The 20558-nt window shown below is 51.9% G+C and overlaps 1 protein-coding gene across 20 annotated transcripts in view; it reads right to left on the minus strand.

The window, feature by feature from the left end:
* The window catches only part of IQSEC2 (IQ motif and Sec7 domain ArfGEF 2), a 95538-nt gene that overhangs the window by 6421 nt on the left and 68559 nt on the right, over nucleotides 1-20558 (minus strand). For 5 of the 20 annotated variants that reach the window (NM_001111125.3, XM_006724579.4, XM_011530773.3 and 2 more), the window contains 11 exons: nucleotides 18046-18941; nucleotides 16488-16649; nucleotides 15881-16003; nucleotides 14736-14902; nucleotides 11099-11238; nucleotides 9551-9676; nucleotides 6962-7061; nucleotides 5912-6073; nucleotides 4089-4262; nucleotides 3550-3599; nucleotides 643-2951 (listed from right to left, as the gene is read on the minus strand). In NM_001111125.3, the coding sequence (NP_001104595.1) occupies nucleotides 1986-2951; nucleotides 3550-3599; nucleotides 4089-4262; nucleotides 5912-6073; nucleotides 6962-7061; nucleotides 9551-9676; nucleotides 11099-11238; nucleotides 14736-14902; nucleotides 15881-16003; nucleotides 16488-16649; nucleotides 18046-18941 (3066 nt within the window). In that variant the 3' untranslated portion in view covers nucleotides 643-1985. The other 15 variants (NM_001410736.1, XM_006724584.4, NM_001441094.1 and 12 more) reach the window with 7 other exon arrangements.

Genomic DNA, 20558 nt, shown 5'->3' on the forward strand with positions numbered 1-20558 from the left:
GTAAACGAAAGGGAGTCCAGCTCTTTGTTATCTGACATCCTAAGTGTATATGCAGAACTCTTAAAATGTATCTAGCCCTGTGCCTTCCAAATCACTCCCCTACCCTCAAGGATAGAAATGTGGCCAGCCATTGTGGGGATGAGGAGGAGCTCCAAGGCCAGGCCAGGCCAGCCACATCCAGGGTGAGAGGAGATGCCCCAAGAGTGGAAGGAAGCATTCATCCTATGAAACGAAGACAAGGGAACTAACTTGCTCAGCTCTGTCCTGGCTCCTTGGCACCCATTACCCCTGGGAATCATCATATCTCCATGTGGCAATGGCTTATCACCCCAAGTTTTACACTGAGGAAACTGAGACTCAGAGAGGGTGACTCTCCCGAATTCACATGCCTAGGAAGTGAAAACCCCAGGATGTGAACTGGATCAACTCCAAAGCCCATACTCTTGCCACTCTGTCGCACAAACTGTGTATGAAATGAGATAGGAAAACCTCCCTCACTCCCACCTCCCTCCAAGCAAAGCATCTCGTCCACCCAGGTGCCTGAATTTCTACCATTAGCGCATTGCCTCCCTGGGCTAAGGCCTCTCTCCATGGGCTCCACAGTGGGGAAGGGGCGCAGAAGTAGGAGGCAGAGGCAGGAGGTGAGCACAAGGTCTTTTATGAGGCATCAAATATACATTCTTATATACAAGGAGGAAAAAAGACAATGCCTGAACCCCAGCTCCTCTCCATACAGCCCCTCCCACTGCCACCCTCCCCCGCCCCCAAGCCCCAGTGGCCCTGGCCCTTCGTACAGCCAGGGTCCATCTGTCTGTCTATACTGCAGCCCATGGTGGAGAGGGGAGAGGGAGGCAGGAGCTGAGTGAGGAGCTGGATATGCGGGGCAAGAAGAGGAGCTGGGGCTTGTAAAAAATATATTTATAATAAATAAACAGGGCTGCAAAAGGGCTGGAGAGGCAGCGGAGATTCTGACGGACAGAAGGACTCAGGCATTCTGGCTCCCAACCCCAGCTCTGATGGCTTCAATCTCTGCCTCAGGAAGGATATCTTGGGCTCATGGTGGCCCTTTGGGAGCCTCTCTCCCCAGGGCTGATGCTGGGTGCCCCTGCCCCAGCGAGGTGTGTGTGGGTGATATCTGTAAAGTGCATTGTCTTCAGTTGTAGGTGGGGTAGGTGTAAGGGAATGGCGGGGGGGCATGCAATATGGGTGAGGGAGGGCAGTGCCCTTCTCATCCCAGACCTGAGCCCCCCCCAAAACCTGTCTGGACTTTGATCAGGATAAGAACGTTGCAGGGCGAGGCAAGTTCCTGAAGCCGAAGAGGTCTGGGCTGGGGCCTACTGGAGAAAGGGCATAGACTGGCTCGAGAGAGGAAGCACTGCCCCACGTGGGGCCAACACAAGCAGGGTCCCACCCACCAAGTGCATCAATGGTCCGTGTCCTCCAGCAGGCAAAAAGACACATGGAAGTGTGTGGCCAGGCCCTGAGGTCAGAGAGAGGGCCAAGCCAGCTGAAGTTTGGCCACAACTCTACAGAGCGCTCTCCTAGCCCCACACGGCCAGAGGAGCCCCAGGGAAGCCTTCACCCCGACAGCTCCGGACACCTGCCCTTCTCCGCCAGCCAGAGCTCACAGAGAGCTCACACAGGCCCAGAGGTCTGAGGCCACAGAGCTAGACCTCCAGGGAAAAGTGGGGAAGAAGAAGACGGGAGAAAGAGTACGAGGATCTCTGGAAGGCCCTCACCACTCCCCAGCGCTGGAGCACCCTGAGTCCAGGCTTCAAGTGGCAAGGATCCTCGAATCTGGAAGGAAACCCCATGGCAACTGCTGGGGGTGAGAGGACGGGTCCCAAGGCAGGGAGGACATGGGGAGGAGGACATTGCTATGTGTATATATATTTTTGAAAAAACCGAGGAAGCAAAGAGGGTGCAAGGTCCCTCTCCTGTGGCTCCCCAGACTTTCCTGTTCCCCAGCTCACTCTCTCCATTCATCAGACCACGGTGCTGATCCGGCTTGGCTTGGCCTTGGGGTTTGCACTGGGGGGGTTGGCTGTGCCAGGGGGCCCAGAGGCGTGCAGCGGGCCATGGGGGGAGGTGGGTGGAAGGGGTGAGTGCGGGGTGTGAGGGGAGGGTGGGGGGAGGGGTGGATAGGAGGGGTGGGGTGGGATGGGTGAGTGTGGTGACAATGGTGACTGGGGGTGGTGGGGGTGGGAGTAGGAGCCCCCTGGTGGCCGGGATCCAGGGCCCCCAGCCGCGCCTGCTGCTGGCATCATCTGTGGGTGGTGGCTGAAGATGAAGTGCTTAGGGCCCTGTTTGTGGGCTGGAGGGTGCTGGGGGGCAGGACTGTACAGGGGCAGTGGGGATGTGGGCTGGTGCAGGGGGTGGCGGCCATGTGGAGCAAACTGAGGGTGTCCTCCAGCCCCCCGTCTGGGTGCCCTGCCTGGCCGGCCCAAGGTATAGTGTTGGGGCCCTGGGACTGGGCCATGGGCGTGGAAGTGGCGATGTGGCCCCACAGGTGGGGCTGAGGCGGGAGGCGGTGGAATGGAGCCCAGCTGGGGCAAGGGTGGGGGCTGCTGGGGAGGTGGGGGAAGAGAGGGCTGCTGGGGTGGGAGGTAGGGTGGCGGGGCAGGGCCCGGTCCTTGGCAATACTGGGCATGCAGGGCCTGGAGCTTGGACTGCCCATCAGGCAGCACCCCCAGGCCACCGTGGCTATGGCCATGATGGTGGTGGTGGTGGTGGTGGTGCGTGGAAGAAGCAGATGAAGAGGAGGCAGAGGCCTGGCCTGTTGGCGGTGGTGGCATCTGGAAGGGCCCCTTGCCCCGCTTGCTTCCAAATAGGGAGCCCAGGAAGGATGAGGAGTTGGAGACGGGCCTCTGGCTCTTGTACTCCTCTGGCGGCGGGGGTGGGGGCGGAGGTGGCATCCTCTGGTGAGGGCGTGGACTGCTAATAACAGACCCCTGGAAGCGGGGAGGGGGGAAGTCAGGCCAGGCTAGATGCCCTAAACCCCCAGCCCTAAATTCCACCCCTGTCCCTGAGGGCTGGAGCTGGGGAGACAGCAAACCCCAAGTTGTAATAAAAACCAAATCACAGTCCGGTACGCGTATGTGGAGCTCCCCAGCTTGCAAAGCTCGGCTGTCACATCCACTATCTCAGCTGAGCCTCAGCTGGGAGAGGAGAAATTAGCAGTACCTCCTCCTCATCCCCATTTTGCAGGCAGGGAAAAGGTTAGGCCCAGAGAGGCAGAGTGACTCGCCCAGGGTCAAAGAGCAGGACTTGGAGGTAAGAGCTTCTCGTGGCCCAACTCCAAGGGCATCCCTACTCGCCGTCGGCCCTGGGGTTGAGAGGGGGCACGGGAGAGTGGAAGACAGACTGAGAGACAGGCAGAATGAGGACAGACAGAGTTGAGGACAGATGGAGAGAGTGGTTGGCTGGGAGAGGCAGCCGCATGGTTCCCAGCAGGGAAGAGGGGGAGCAACAGGTCCCCTCCTCCTCTGGGTCTCCATGGCCGGGGCAGGGCTCATGCAGAGGACGAGTGGGGCAGGAGCTGGCACTTACTTCGATGGTGCTGTCCAGCGATCCCACGCTGTTACGCCGCCCCCGCTTCCCTGCACCCACAAGCAAGGAGCCCAGCGTCAGAGCAGCAACCCCCCCCCTACCCTGCTGGGCTCCAGAGCTGGGCACCAGGACTGGGCCCCTCCCGGGGACAGACACCCCATTATCCCTTTCCCCCATTGAAGAGGGGGAGGCGGGGAGGAGGAGAGGTGGAGAAGGAGGAGAAAGAGGAGGAAAAGATGGAGAAGGAGGAGTGGAGGTACAGGAGAGACAGAAGAGGGAGAAGAGGAGGAGAGGGGGAGCAGCGAGAGAGAGGGACCAAGACTGTGGCCCCACTTCACACTCCCTGGCCCAAAAGCTGGGCTCCCCCTGCTCTGACCTGGCTCCCAGGCCCCCTGTGGCGCAGCGCCCAGGGCTCTGGGTGAAGGCAGGGTGCGTGCATGTGTGGCAGGTGGAGGGAAGGCTGGCGGCCAGTGACAGGAGGCAAAGAGGACACCCGGTCCCGTGTCTCCCCAGCCAGGGCAGGGGCCCAGAGGGCTTACCTGCATCAGAGAGGTCTCGCAGGGAACTGCTGAGTGCGCCCCGTTTGAGCCCATCGCCTGCCCCGTAAGTGTCCTCCAGGCTACTGCGGGCCATCGTCCCATTCACTGAGTCCTTGGCCCCTCCAGGCTGTGAGGCGTTAGGCCGCATCATACCTTTCTGCTTCTCCAGCTCCGCTGGGTGGCAGTCGGGGAGACAGGGAGCAAAGGTCAGGAACAGGAGTGAGAGCCCATCTGACTGACCCTAGCCCTCCATGGGCCATTCTCCTTCCTCCTCCCTCCTCCCTCCCTCTGTCCCCAGGCTTCGTGTTTTGCCCCTTGGACGACCAGCCCTTGTCTCCCCCAAAACTGCAGCTCCATCACCGAAGCACCCTTAGTGCCCAGCTCCTGTCTTGCACCCTCCCTTCCTGCTCAGCCTTCCCTTCATCCCTCTTGGTGCCTGCTCTCCCTGTTCCCTTTCCCTTCCTTTCACCCTTCTGACTTCTCCCCTCCCATGCCCTCTTGCAATCAGGTCTCCCAAAGCACCCCTGCCCTTCAAAAAAGAGCTTCATGGCAGATGGTTCACAGTAAGGATGGTAAGGCCCTTCTAGCCTATGGCAAAGGGCAATCTTTCCAGAGTTCAGTCAGTTCTCAGATACCTTGCTCCGGAGCAGAGGGGCTCCTGGAAGGGCAGGAGCAGGAAACTGACAGGAATCAAATCCTCTTATTATGTGCCAGGCAGTATGCTGGGCGCTACACATACTTGATCTCTCTCAGTCCTCACAACAGTTCTGAGGTCAGTATTAGCATCCACATTGTGCAGAGGAAGAAACTGAGTATCCGAGAAGTCTTAGAGCTTGCCCAGGGTCATACAGCTGGAAATGGCAGAGCCGACATTCTGGAAGCAGGTCTGCCTGATTCCAGAGCTTGGGTGCTTCCGGCCTCCTACAGCCCCACCTCCCCACGGAGCTCATAGAAACACGTGTCTACTGGCCTCCCCTCGTCTTGGGCTACTAATCCCTCTCTCAGGATTTCCCCAGGGTCTCAAAGGATCTGGTGAACTGAAATTTCTATCCCTGCCTCGCTGAGAAGTAGAGTGGCCCTGGAGCTGTGAAGGCCTCACCAAGGAGCTGTCCGCCGCCTCGTCTCTGTCTGCCTGCCTCTTTCTCCTTAACACCATGTTACTTAACTGTGACTGCTTAGCCTGGAGAAGAGAAAACTTGGAGGGCATCGGGAGGAATGAGATGTAATCACTATTTTCCATTATATATATATGATCAAAATGACTTGGTGTGGCCCCTGGGGGCTGAGAGGATAGCCCACTGGGATTCAGCTCAGGAATTGATATGTGGGCAGAGGAGGAGAGAGGGTGGGACAGGAAATACGGATTTTTTGAATGCCTAAGATGTGTTGGGACATTTCGGCTACCTTGTCTCATTTCATCTCCATGACTCTGTGAAGGAGACTTCATTACCCCAATTTCGTATAGGAAGAAACTGGGGCTTGGCAGGTTAGGCAATTTGCTGCAGTTCACCCAGATAATGAGTAGTATACCTGGGATCTAAAACTATAGTCCTACCTCCAATACTCTGATTCTTCTCCCTGATACCTTTCACTAGAAGGAATAGTTGGCTCATAATTAGAGTTCAGGATAATAATGGGGTTGGGAGGTAATGAGCCCCTTGTCACTGAAGGTATTCAAGCAGAGGCTGAAGAATTCTTGAAATGAGGATGGGAAGGTTGGACAAGCTAACCCTCAACTCTGAGATTCTCTGAGGATAGGATTCTTGGTTTCTGCAGGGTACTGTTTCAGGAGAGCAGGGAGGAGACATGGCTGGGCTACTCACACTCCACACGGTATTTCTCCATCTCCTGCACCTCCGCAATGGACTCGCGCAGGTCGGATGTAAAGCGCAGCCGGTCCTGGAGGCTGGGGGCATTGAAGATGATGAGGACTTTTCGCTCCCCACCAGGTACTGCAGACAGCAACTTGATCCCAAACTGGTAATCTGTGGAGAAAGGGGAGACTGGGCACCTCTGTTGGGACTGGTGCAAGGTGGCTCATACATAAAATAATTTTTCTTTTCTGCTCTTTTTTTTCTGAGACAACATCTCTCTGTCACCCAGGCTGGAGTGCAGTGGTGCCATCATGGCTCACTGCAGCCTTGAACTCCTGGGCTCAAGTGATCCTTCTGCCTCAGCCTCCTGGGTAGCTGGGACCATGGGCACGCACCACATGCGCAGATTTTTTTTTATTTTCAGTAGAGATGGGGTCTCACTATGTTGCCCAGGCTGGTTTCGAATTCCTGGGCTCAAGCGATCCTCTTGCCTTGGCCTCCCAAAGTGCTGGGATTACAGGTGTGAGCCACCATGCCTAGCCCATGAAATAATTTTTCTACTGTCTAACTCTGATCATGCCTCTTCTCTGCTTGAGCATGTTTAGCAGCTCCCCTTTGCCCCAAAGCCCTCAAACTCCTGGTAGCTGTGGCCCTCTTACTCCCTGTACTGCAGGATGTAAAGGCACACAACTATGCACTGCTCTCTCGAAACCCTTTCCTTCTCACCTCTGCCTCAACTCACATTGCTTCTGCTGCCAGGAATACCACGCAACAAAGCTCCTCCTGGTTCATCCTTCAGAGCACAGCATGATCACCGTCTCTTTGGCCCACCAGAGAACACATGCACTGTGGTTCTCTGCAAGACCATGAGCTAACCAGGGGCTAGACCCAAGTCATACTCCACCCTGGCCTGCCCCTCATCCTGGGACCAAGTAGGTGCTTTGGAGACCCTTAGTCCGGTTGTAAGGGACTCCGAAAACTGGAGCTGGTATAGATGACGGGTGAGCATGGGGGCCATGACATAGACTCTCAGGAGCTGGGATCCAAGAAGGGACTCACATGAATTCTGGAAGAGCTGCATGTGCATTTCCACGAGGGGGAAAGACTGACGGAAACTGTACGTCACCAAGATCTTCTTCTTCTGGAAAATTTTGGTGACCTTTGGCAGGGGTGGGAAAAAGACAAGAGGCAGCGCTTTGGGTGGGGGATTTCCACGTGGCACCTATTTCTGGTAACCACCCTCCCCTCCCACCCCATTAACAGACACACACACACAAACACACATGCCCACAAGCTGGGGAGAATGGAAGCTTGAGGGACAGAATGGGAGACATGGAAGAAAACGCAAGTTCCTGATGTAATGACCACGCACCACAGACATTTACCACATTTCCAGAAACTAACTGAATCCTGCTTCCTCCAGGAAGCCTGCTCCAACATCCCACAGAGATTTGTAAACCCCTTTTCTGAGCTCCAGAATGGTGATTCAGTGCCTTTCCCTTGTCAGGCACTATGCTAGTCCTCTGAGTGTGTGATCGCCCCCTGCTGGACTGGAGGGCAGGAGTCTGGTTGTCGGGTTCTGTCACCAGGCCTTACCAGAGCCTGCACTTAATGGCAATCTCTGCTGAACCCATGTAGAGAGTTAATAAGTCTTCCTCTCAACAACCCAATATCTTTGTCGAGTACTTGGGCACTCTGGACTCAACTAACACAGGCTGCAAACACCTCAGGCGGTCTGCAAGTGGCTCGTAAAAGGAAATGTTTTGATTTCAGGATGGCACAATGACGCAAAGCACTTTTTTAGGTCCTTTGGGCTGTGAGCTCCCTGAGAACAGGGACTAAGTCTGATTCATCCTGGCATACCCAGTGCCTAGCATAGAGCTGGACATACACCAGTTTCAGTACCTGAGGGATGTCTACACATTGACTGTGTGGGCCAGGTACTCCCTGGGGTAGGGCAGATTCCACATATAACCTCTTATTTCATTTCATCCTCATGACAATCCTGTGAAGTAGGGGTTAGTTCCATTTCACAGAGGAGGAAACTAAGGCTCAGAGGGAGCATGGAAATACTTCGGCTAAAGCAGCAATGCTCAACTGGGGGTGATATTGCCCCCAGAGGACACGGAGCAACATCTGGAGACATTTTTGGTTGAAGGGTTGCTACTAGCACCTAGTAGGTAGAGACCAGGGTGCTGCTAAACATCCTACAGTGCACAGGACAGTCCCCGCAAAGAATTATCCAGCCCCAAATGTCAACAGTGATGAGACTGAGAAACCCTGCTCTAAAGGAGAGAAGACCACAGGGAGAACAGGATCAAGAGAGTCCTCAAATCCCTGGAGAGCTGTCTTGGAGCAGAGGTACAACACTTGTTCTTTGTGATGCCAAGGGTTGAGTGCAGATGGCTGGAAGAAACCCACAGGGAGACAAATTCTAGCAGTCAGAGCTGCCTAACAAGGCAACTGGCTGCCTTAGAGGAAGGCGGCTTTCTGTCCCTGCAGTCATACATCCAGTGGGCCATCTAGGAAGCTGGACCCTGAAAGTCCCTTCCAACCTGCAAAGTCCTAAGAGTCCCATCCCTAAAAGACAAACATCTCTACTTGTAATGAGCTCAGTTTGAAGAATCACTTCAAGCATCTTTTTTTTTTTTTTTTTTTGAGACAGAGTTTCACTTGTCGCCCAGGCTGGAGTGCAATGGAGCGATCTCAGCTCACTGCAACCTCCGCCTCCTGGGTTCAAGCGATTCTCCTGCCTTGGCCTCCCCAGTAGCTGGGACTACAGGCATGCGCCACTGCGCCCAGCTAATTTCTTATATTTTTAGTAGAGACGAGGTTTCTCCATGTTGGCCAGGCTGGTCTTGAACTCCTGACCTCAGGTGATCCACCCACCTCGGCCTCCCAAAGTGCTGGGATTACAGGCATGAGCCACCGTGCCTGGCCCAAGCATCTTTTTTAAATTTTGTTTTTATTATTTATTTATTTATTTTTGAGGCAGGGTCTGGCTCTGTTGCCCAGGTTGGAATGCAGTGGTGCGATCACAGCACACTGCAACCTCTGCCTCCTGGGCTCAAGTGATCCTCCCGACTCAGCCTCCCAAGTAGCTGGGACTACAGGTGCACACCACCATGCCCGGCTAATTTTTGTATTTTTTGTGGAGACAGGGTTTCGACATGTTGCCCAAGCTGGTCTCAAAACTCCTGGGCTCAAGTGATTCAAACTGCCCTGGCCTCCCAAAGTTCTGGGACTATAGGTGTGAGCCACAGTGCCGAGCCCACTTCAAGCATCTTGATTACTGAAGATTTCCAGACTGACCTGGGGGGTCGCAGGTTCACCCCTCTTCACACAACCCTATGGGCTATTGAGGTGGACAGGGATATTTCCTACCACTTCCCAGGTTGTAAGTCTGTCATCTCCTTTGGTCCTCATATTTTCTGTCCCTGTGTGTCTGTTACTACCTCCAAATGCATCTGTGAGGAAAAGGAGGGGCAGAGAAGGCCTGGGCCTTGCCTGAGACCATGCAGATGGCATGGCAGAACACCTCGCCCGCCACACTCCACACACCACACACCTACATCAATATGGTTCACACCAGACTTAGGTGTCAAGCTCACTCTCTCCCTCCCATCTCCTCCCCCACAGTGCTCATACCACAAGGAGATCATTGAAGAGGAAGACCTCCCGCTGATGCAACCCTAGCCTCTGGGGGCGGTTTGGATCTGGCACCTCGTAGAGCTGGCAGCAGCAAACCAGTCGACGGTGAGGGAGAGACAGGACCTAGACAGGCATGAAGAAACAGGTGTCAGCAAGGCCAGCCCATCAGCTTCAGGCCTCCTGGCACCTTAACTTTCAACCGCAAGAAGTTTACCACTCATACATGTGTGTCACTCTGACACAAGGGGTATCAGCAACTAAGACCTAAACTTATCTGCTACCTTGCCTTTGCCCTTCTGTCTGGAATGTCTTTCTTGCCCAGCTCTGCATGGTCATATTTCAACTCCCTTTCAAATTTCCATCCCGGCCGGGCGCAGTGGCTCACGCCTGTAATCCCAGCACTTTGGGAGGCCGAGGCGAGCGGATCACTTGAGGTCAGGAGTTCGAGATCAGCCTGGCCAACATGGTGAAACCCCGTCTCTACTAAAAACACAAAAATTAGCTGGGTGTGGTGGTGGGCGCCTGCAATCCCAGGTACTCAGGAGGCTGAGGCAGGAGAATCGTTTGAACCCAGGAGGTAGAGGTTGCAATGAGCCGAGATCATGCCACTCCACTCCAGCCTGAGTGACAGAGTGAAACTCCATGTCAAAAAAAAAAAAAAAAAAAAAAAAAAATTCAATCCCAAAATGATCTCTTCCAAGAAGCCTTCCCTGATTTCTCCAGGCTGAAAATGGTCTCTCTCTCCTTTCTCCTCTCCTAAACTGGACCATAAAGCAGAAGTATTATATGTGTCTTTGTTTCACACCCCGACTGGTCTGTGAGTGCCCCCAAGGATAGAGAACACGTCTGATTCATATCTATGAATGCCCAGCACCAACTCTGGTGCCCAGCAAATGCTGGGCTCAGTGGAAAGGCATCCACAAATGTTTGTTGGCTAAAGCGTTTTCTTTTTTTTTTTCTTTTTTTGAGACGGAGTCTTGCTCTGTGGCCCCAGGCTGGAGTGCGTTGGCACGATCTCAGCTCACTGCAACCTCCGCCTCCCGGGTTCAAGCAATTCTCCTGCCTCAGCCTCCTGAGTAGCTGGAACTCCAGGCATGCACCATCACGCCCGCAGCTAATTTTTGTATTTTTAGTAGAGACAGGGTTTTGCCATGATAGCCAGGCTGGTCTGGAACTCCTGACCTGAGGTGATCCACCCACCTCGGCCTCCCAAAGTGCTGGGATTACAGGCACAAGCCATTGTACCTGGCCTAAAGTGTGTTCTTACTTTGGTTTTCTGCTAACCATTAGCTTGGCTCTTCACTTAGGATGGACAGGCAAAGCCGGAGGTGAAAAGGATGCTAATATTTATATAGTACCCACTATGGGCCTTGGAATGTGCTCGATGCATTCACTCTGCACCACAGCCTTCTGAGGAATGCATTATCACCCACTCTGTATTGCAGGTAAAGGGCACCTGGGGCTCAGGGAGGTGCAGTGACTTACCACTTAGTGGCAGAGGCAGACCTGAACCCTGGCCCCTCTGCAGCCTCCCAAGGCACTTACTGGTTTCTTTCCAACAATCATGCGCTCCACAGCCTGCACCTGGGACACATGGTCATCGTTGGTCCGCAGTTCACGCCCCTGGATGCGCTGGTAGATGCCCACCAGGAGGTCTCGGGGGATGTCTTCACCATTGTCAACCCCTGGGGGAGGGAGTAACACAGGGATATGTCACATAATTATGGGCACTGGGTGGTAGGGGTGCTCCACCACCCCCACACCCAGGCACGGGCCACGATAGTCAGGACTGAGGGTCAATGGGTACCCTCGGCCCCTTAGCCAGGATTGGGGCAGGGAGGGTGTCCTTCAGTACAACAGCCAGTTGCTATCTTCCCCAGAGTGGGGAATTTTTTCTCAACAACTCAGAATACACTGTAATTAAAACAATCAGATACTATTGTTTGCCTTCCTAATTAGCAAAAATAATTTAAAATGAAATCCAGTGCTAGGAAGAGTGCAGGGAAGTGGGCATGTATGGTAACATAACTCTTTTGGAAGGTAATTTGGCAAGAACCTAAATGTTTGTACCCAGTGATTCTCTTCTAGGAATCTACCCTAAGGAACTACTCAGAAATATGTGCAAGAGGTATGTGCAAGAATGCTAGTGCAGGCGGGGCATGGTGGCTCACGCCTGTACTCCCAGCACTTTGGGAGGCCGAGGCAGGTGGATCACGAGGTCAGGAGATCAAGACCATCCTGGCCAACATGGTGAAACCTCATCTGTACTAAAAATACAAAAAATTAGCCAGGCATGGCACCATGTGCCTGTAGTCCCAGGTACTCGGGAGGCTGAGGCAGAATTGCTTGAACCCGGGAGGCAGAGGCTGTAGTGAGCCAAGATCGCGCCACTGCACTCCAGCCTGAGCAACAAGATTGAGACTCTGTCTCAAAAAAAAAAAAAAGAAAAAGAAAAAAAAGAATGCTAGGGCAGGCGTGGTATAATCCCAGCACTTTGGGAGGCTGAGGCAGGTGGATCGCTCGAGCCCAGGAATTCGAGAGCCAACCTGGGCAACATGGCAAAATCCCATCTCTACAAAAAATACAAAAATTAGCTGGGTGTGGTGGCACACACCTGTGGCCCCAGCTACTTGGGAGGCTGAAGTGGGATAATAGCTTGAGCCTGGGAGGAGGAGGTTGCAGTGAACCATGATTGCACCACTGCACTCCAGCCTAGGCAACAGAGCAAGACCCTGTCTCAAAAAAAAAAAAAAAAAACTCACTAAGTGTTACTTATGGGGACAATTTGAAACAACCTAAATTTTAACAATAGAGGATAGTATATCCATTTAATAAGATAATGCACAGCTATTAAAAACTTGACATTTACAAAAACATTTCAATAGCATGAGAAAATTACAGTAGCAAATTATGGGAAAAGAGTAAGATAAATTGCATGTGTGGTATGATCTGAACTATATAAAAAGTTACATATGCATGGGGGAAAAGATTAGAACGCACCAAAACATTAACTATGATTGCCTCTAGGGGGCACATTTTGGGTGATAAAAAGAAATTTTCTAATTTTCTGAATCTTCCAACATTTCTGAAATAAAGTATGTATTACCTTCATTTATTTGCTTATTTATTTAATAATTAGAGGGGGAAGTTACACATACACACACACACACCCACACACACACACACATATATTGAGAGAGAGAGGGAAAAAGAATGGATGAATGAATGATGGCAAAATTCTAGGAGACAGCTCCAAATGGCCTCTGATCTAACTCCCTCCTCCCATGTTCACCATCCTTCTCCACTTCTGATTGCTGAGTGAAACCCACTCACTCTTCTCTCTAAATCCTCTACTAGAGAAAATGTTTTCTGGGCAGGACGTGGAGGCTCACACCTGTAATCCCAGCACTTTGGGAGGCCGAGTTGAGGCAAGGAGTTTGAGACCAGCCTGGGCAACCTAGCAAGACCCTGTCTCTACAAAAAATTTAGAAATTAGTTGGGCATGGTGGCACGCGCCTATAGTCCCAGCTACTTAGGAGGCTGAGGTGGGAGGATCGCTTGAGCCCAGGAGTTCAAGGCTGCAGTGAGCTCTGCTAGCACCACTGCAATCCAGCCTGGGTGAGAGAGTGAGACCCTGTCTCTAAAAATAAAAAAAAAAAAAACAAATAAAATAAAAAAACAGAAAACAAAAAAAATGTTTTCTTCCTTGGAAATGTCACATCTCCTCCTTGGACAGGTGCTAAAGGAACATACTACATCGCACTGACTTTCTTACCAGAGCAGCCACAGCGGCACAAACCTGATGGGCAGCCAATTTGTCTTGTGTTCAGTTTGCTTTTTTTCTTTGACTCTATTTCCCTCTTTCTTTTCTGCTTAAATAATCTTAACATCTGTACCATTTTTAGTAGCTGCTCTTTGGTGATAGGCAGGGCTCGACATCAGTAGAATAAGCAAAAAGAGCAAGGTGACACCTTTCATCTGGCATTCAAGGCCCTCATATATTGGTTCCATATATTGGAACCTCATATATTGGGACCTTCCCAACCCATCAATGACCTCATCTCAATTGTTCTTTTTTTTTTTTTTTTTTTTTCAAGACAGAGTCTTGCTCTGTCACTCAGGCTGGAGTGCAGTGGTGCGATCTTAGCTCACTGCAACCTCTACCTCCCAGGTTCAAGTAATTCTCCTGCCTCAGCCTCCTGAGTGGCTGGGATTACAGGTGTGCACCACCATGCCTGCTAATTTTTGTATTTTTAGTAGAGATGGGGTTTCCCCATGTTGGCCAGGCTGGTCTGGAACTCCTGGCCTCATGGGATCCACCTGCCTCAGCCTCACAAAGTGCTGGGATTACAGGTGTGAGCCAACGTACCCAGCCCTCAATTGTTCCCTAAAGAAAATAAATGTTCCTGCCTCTGCGCCTTTGGTATTCTCATTGCTAGGTAAGCCCTCCTCTATCTCTATTGTGTCACCTTCTCCATGCCTTCAAGACCCACCTTAAAATAAAAATACTACCTCCTCCAGGAAGCTAGCTAGAGGTGGGCTCTCCCTCCTTTGAGCTCTGACTGCACTTTTGGCCTCTCTGATGTCACTGTTCACTTTCTGTCTTATGTTAGTTATCTGGGTGCTACAAGTCAGCCTCTCCCACACACAGGGAGCTCTCTCAGAACAGGGAGTATGGCAGATTCCCCTCCATTGTCCTTGGCACCCATCATGGGGCTTGGCACACACTAAGCGCTAAGTGTTGACTGGCTGGCTGGTTGTTTGGTCGAGTGATAAATGAATGCATGAATAGAGGAAAAGGTACCTAAAATAATTAAATGAGTCCTCATGGGCATAAATAAGAGAGGGAAAGAAGGAGCGAGGAAAGGACAAGTGAATTACTGAATGAATGAATGAATGAATCAGAGTAAAGCCTTGTAAGAGTCAGGACTTTAATCTATCATGTTCACTGCTTGAACCCCAGGACCTAGAAACCTGGTACACAGTAGAAGCTCAGTACAATGGGCAAATGACGATTTGAGTGAATTAATAAGTGAATATCCTGGGAACATCCAGCTAGGGCAGAAAGTGACAGCATCACAAATTAATTTCCAAGGAACAGATGGGATCTCCTGCATCCTTCCCCTTACCCCCCACTTTCCCTTTCCAGGTGAAGGGCAGGAAAAGCTGACAGGGAAGTCACCTCTCAGGTTCTTGATGAAGTCATCTAGTTTCATCTTTCGTTCAGCTTTGACGCTGGGACTGTACATGTCGGTATTGAGGAGGATGATGGCAAAAGCAAGGATGAAGATGGTGTCTGGGTTCCGGAACTGGCGCACGAGGGCTGGGTTACAGACACAGTACCGCTGGCTGCAGGGCAGGAGGGGTCAAAGCCAGACTCAGGAACCAGCCATCTCTGCCTACCCACCATCCACCCAGTCTGGCACCAGCAACCCTTTCCTGCAAGAAATACTTTCTTGATCTCTGGGTCTGTCCTCTTCAGAGCTTCCCCTAGACCAGCATGTAAAAATCACAATCGCTACCTTTTACAGAGCTCTTCCAGGGGATTTATGTACGTTGTTTCACGTAATCCTATCATAATCCTGCAAGGTAGCTATTGGCAGTCCCATTTTACAGATGAAGTGACTAAGACTCAAAGTGGCGAGGTAACTTGCCCAAGGTAATAGAGCTGGTAAATGGTGAAGCCAGGATGAAAACCCAGTTATTTCTGACTGCAAAGCAAATCCTTCCCCCATTGTGGGAAACAAGTTCTCAGCAACTCCTGTTTCTCTTCTAAATACCCTAAAGTGGCAGAGCCAGGATTTAGACCCCAGTCTATCTGATCTCCAAAGCATTTATAGTACAGTAAAATGGTTAAGGGCATGGATGGATCATGGACTCAGACACATACGAGTTCAAATCCTGTTTCTACCACTTATTCACTGTATGAGCCTGGGCAAGTTACTTAACCTCTCTAAACTTCTGATTTCTCATCTGTAAAATGGGAATAATAACAGAAGTGCCTACTTTATGGGGTGGTTGTGATTATTCGGTGAAATAATCATGTAAAGTGCTCAGCTCTGCACCTGATACCTAGTAAGTGCTCCGTGAATGTTAGCTGTTATTGCTGATGTTGTTGTCACTTATCGAATGCCCATGTCCCAGAGGCTGAGCTAGATACTTTATATGCACTACCTCTGATCCTCACAATTGCCTTGCAAGATAGGATTTATCATCTCTGTTTTATGGTGAAGAAAGTATGAGGCTCAGAGAAGTGACTTATAAACACATACTACGTCGATGCCCACAGGAGGGAGGGGCAGCTTCGCGAGTGGGAGGTAGGCACACCTGAAGGCTTCGATGAGTCGCTCCACTTTCTGGGCCTCACCCTGAACCCGGATATGGGACTGGAACTTCCGGAGCGCATCATCCAGATCCATGGAGGAGAAGTCCATCTCATCCACCACACAGCTAAGGAGCAAAGAAGGAGGTGTGGCGCTTTCAATTCCTCTGCAGAAAACCTCTGACCCACCTGGACCTGCTCAAATGGACCAACACCCCCACTGATAGACTCTCAAATTCAGGACCTGTGGCCCGAGCAAGTACACATGAGGACAGAATGTTTGAAATCAAATCCATCTCAGAAAATTGAGGCAAGGCACGTGGTCACTAAAGGTCCTTTCCATCAAGCCACTCATTTCAGAGACAGGAAAACTGAGGCCCAAAACAGGCTACAGGATGAGCATGTCTTGCCCAGGGCCACCCAGAAGACTTTAGGAATAGAGCCAAACAAGATCAGACCCCTTTGGGGCAGAAGGGTACAGGGGCAGGAAGGTCTATTCATCCTGTTTTGAAAAGCTTATCTGAGCTAAAGGGACAGGCTGCCCCCTTCCTCCCTCTTGCTGTCCTTTTCCAGGAATCCCTGGCCCAGCCTGCCCCATCCTGGGGTCCTCACTCCAACACGTCTCTGTTGAACTGCTTCTGCCGGTTCCCTAGGAATTCCCCTATCATCTGCCGGCTGAGGCCTTTCCGCTCCAGGATGAAGTGAGCCACTCCCACCGGTGTGTCTGACAGGAAGCCCCGCTCGATCAGATACTGGATACCCTTCTCTGGCTTCCTGCAGAAAGAGGAGAGGTAGATGAGATGACTGTCCTCCTGGAACTGTGCTCTCTGTCTCATTTGTTGAACTAATTTTGGGCCCAACTAAGTCCGGCCTCAGAGGACCAACGAAGTCAAATACATAATTTGATCCAATCCCATCATGGCACAAGTGAGAAAACTGAGGCCCAGGGAGAAGAAGCCACTTGCCCATTTCAAGGAGCTTCAAAATCCCAAGGTATCTTCAACCCAACATCCCCCTTCACTGGAGCCACATCACAATTGAAAGAAAATCAGTATCTAATGAGAGCCTGCTCTATGCCAGGCTTGACATTCCCAGCAAGAACCGAGGAGAGGGCTGAGCACCTTCCCTCTGAGTCACAGACCCTCAGAGTAGGGAAGAAGTGAAGAGGTTACTTTGTTCCACGTCCCACATCCCACTCAGGCAGGTATCACCAACTTTCTCTGAGTGTTTCTGTAGACAAGGTGCCCCCTAGATTTCCAGGGAGCTGGGCCAAAATCTGGGTCACAGCTATCCCATATTCAGAACCCCAGAACCTTAGGACCCCACAAGGTTAAAATTTGGAAGGGACTGATGCCATAGGAGTCTCAGATCCATCACTTCCCAGTTGTATGACTTTGGACAATTCCTTTTGCTTCTCCAAGCCTTGGTTCCTTATCTACAAAATAGGAACACTACTGCCTGCCTTGCTGAGTTATTGTAAGAATTAAATATAGGTGGCAGTGTTTAATAAGCTATAAAGATGTAAGGCATTCAAGTAATGGCTTCCAATTACATCTAATGTTTTCCAATTACATCTAATATTTTCCAATTATTTTCTAATCAAATGTCACACTCCCACCTCACTCCTAAACACCTGGCAGAAGACCAGGCACCTAGAAAGAGCTTAGTCACAGTCACTGAAGGGTCCAGCACACCACCCTGCCCCCAACACCTCTTACATACACATTCTGCTAGTGGTAGGTGGAAAAATGGAAGCCCAGGGGAGGAATGCACCTTGCCCAGGGCTATGCAGTGAGTCTAGCCAAAGGCCGACTGAGGGGGCCAGGTCTCCTGTTTCCCAGACTAGGGCTCTTTCTACACCATATCACCTCCCCTCTAAAAAGGGAAGGTGGGGAGGACAAGGTTCAGAATCCATTTAGTGGGGTCATCTCACCCAAGATCAGACAGCCAGCCAGGGGCAGTACTGGGACCCGAGCCCAGGTGTGTTAAGGGACTCTCTACTCTGCCACCCTGTTGCCAATCCTCTTCCCTGAATGTCTGGGGAGAAATACCATTCCACAAAATGAAAGGATGGCAGAACGGGGATCACTGTGTGGAGTTCTGTCCCAGGAACCCAAGTGCATGTGGCAGGGTAGGAAGGGGTAAGCAGGCTAGAACGGGGAGCACGCACTTGTTGAAGAGGTTGAGGCCGATTCGGTAGTGCCGCCTCTGGACCACATCATTGTTGAAAGCTGGCGAGTCCCAGCTATGCCTTGTCTCCCGCTGGTAAGTCTGCTTGCACAGGCCGGTAGCCGGAGGCTCCCTTAGACTGTCCCGAGAAGAGGAGCCGGAGCTGCAGTTGATGGTCTCATTGGAATTGCTGGAGCTCTCAAGGCTCTCGTTATCTCCACCATCAGAGTTCTCGCCTGCTGCCTCGCACTTCCCCAACCTCCGACCCCCAGCCACACCACTGGGCCCAGTGCCACTGTTGGGGGCTGGTGGCAGGGGCCCTGGTGGGGCTGGGGCTGGGCCTTCAGGGGCTGGGTAGTGGCGGTGTGGGATCGGGGCCCTGCCTGGTGGCCCCTTGTGCTTCAGGGTCCCATGGGGGCTGCAGCCATCAGCCTCATACACCAGCTGGCGGTGGACAGAGCCGCGATCTGAGCGGTCACTCAGGTCCACGGAGCTGTCACTAGGAGGCTCAATGGTAAGCAGGGGAAGGTGGGCAGCCCGCAGCCGGAAATCCCGGCACTCCAAGCACCCGGGACCCCTGCGAGTGCCTTCCTCACGGCTACCGTCTTCCCGGGTTCCTGATGGCACTGGTGGAGGAACTGGCGGGAGAGGGGCTGGCGCCCAGAACTCGGGCCGGCCCTGGGGTGGGGGTTCTGTGCTGGGCAGTCGCTCAGGGGATTGTTGGGGAACTGTGTCATCCAGGTAGAGGGGAAGATCACTGAAGGATGTGGCTGAGCTGTCCTCTTGCTGTTCCTTTGACTCCCGCTTCTCCAGCTGGGCTGACCCTGGCTCCTCAGACATGGGCCCTGACGGGTGGCAGTTCAGGGCTTCGTCGATGGATTCAGCCAGAGACTTTACCTGTGCAAGGGGGGGAGGAGAGGAGGGAAAGGGAGAGAAAAGAAAGAAAGATAAAGGGAAGAATGGTGGAAGGTGGGAATGAGGGAGGGAGGTAAGGAAAAAGGGGGAGTCTTCCTGGTAGGTCAGCAAGGAGGGTGGATTCCCCTCCCCCAGCCCTGACAGGCTCTCTGTGGTCTGTAAAATGACTCCCAGGGAACCATTGTGAGCTCACAGGAGCTGAGACTAATGCCCACAAGTTCCCCACTCAGCTCACACCCCAATACCTCCTTTGTGTCCATTTAGACTCAAGCCAAACGTTACCTCCTCCCTGATTCAAGCCACATTCTTGCCTCTGCCATCCCCCAGAGTAAACCAAAATCCCAGTTTCCTCTGTGGGAATTCTCTTAGGAAATCCATAACATTTGACCTTGAGCATCTGGACCACAGCTGGTAATGCTCTCTCCCTGTGGTATCCAGACTCTAAACTGGCCGCTAATGATCCCTGCCTCCTGGTATTCACACCCTAGGGTACCACATTGTACCAGAGTTAGTCTGTGTGACAAACAGCATATGGCAGAAGCGAATGTATGTCACTTCTGAAATTAGGTTTTAAAAGACTGCAGAGGCTGGGCATGGTGGCTCATGCCTGTAATCCCAGCACTTTGGGAGGCCAAGATGGGAGGATCCCTTGAGCCCAGGAGTTCAAGAGCAGCCTGGGCAACATGGCGAGACTCTATCTCTACAAAAAATAAAAACATTAGCTGGGTGTGGTGGCACACACCTGTAGTCCCAGCTACTCAGGAGAGTGAGGCAGGAGGATCACTTGAGCCCAGGAGTTTGAGGCTGCAGTGAGCTATGATCACGCCACTACACTCCAGCCTGGCAACAGAGCAAGATACTGTCTCTAAAATTTTTATTTGTTTGTTTGAGACAGAGTCTTGCTCTCACCCAGGCTGGAGTGCAGTGGCACGATCTCACCTCACTGCAACCTGCACCTCCCAGGTTCAAGCGATTCTCCTTCCTCAGCCTCCCCAGTAGCAGGGATTACAGGTGCGCACCACCATGTTTGGCTAATTTTTGTATTTTTAGTAGAGACGGGGTTTCGCCATGATGGACAGGCTGGTCTCAAACTCCTGACCTCAGGTGACCTGCCCACCTTGGCCTCCCGAAGTGCTGAGATTACAGGCATGAGCTACCACACCTGGCCAAAAAAAATTTATTAAAAAAAAAAAAAAAAACTGCAAAACATTTTTTAAAAATTTAAAACATTAAAAAAAATTTTTTTAATGACTGCAGCTTGCATCTTGAGCACTCTTGGTCGCTTGTCACTTGTACTATTTCTCTCAGACCCCCCAACCTGGGGAAAGCCGCATCACGAACAGTCCTATGGAGAGGCCCACAGGGTGAGGCATTGAATCCTCCTGCCAACAGCCAAGTGGGTGAGCTTGAAAGCAGACTGCCAGCCCCAGTCTAATCTTCAGATATTGCGGGCTCTCCCTACAGCTTGACCGCAGCCTCATGAAAGGCCCTGAACCAGAACCACTCAGCCATGCCATTCCCAGCTTCCTGGCACCCAGAAACTGTATGAAATAATAAATGTTTATTGTTTAGGCTCACTCTCTTGGGTCAGTTTTAAGC

Source organism: Homo sapiens, chromosome X, assembly GCF_000001405.40.
Source record: "Homo sapiens chromosome X, GRCh38.p14 Primary Assembly".
Taxonomy (NCBI): domain Eukaryota; kingdom Metazoa; phylum Chordata; class Mammalia; order Primates; family Hominidae; genus Homo; species Homo sapiens.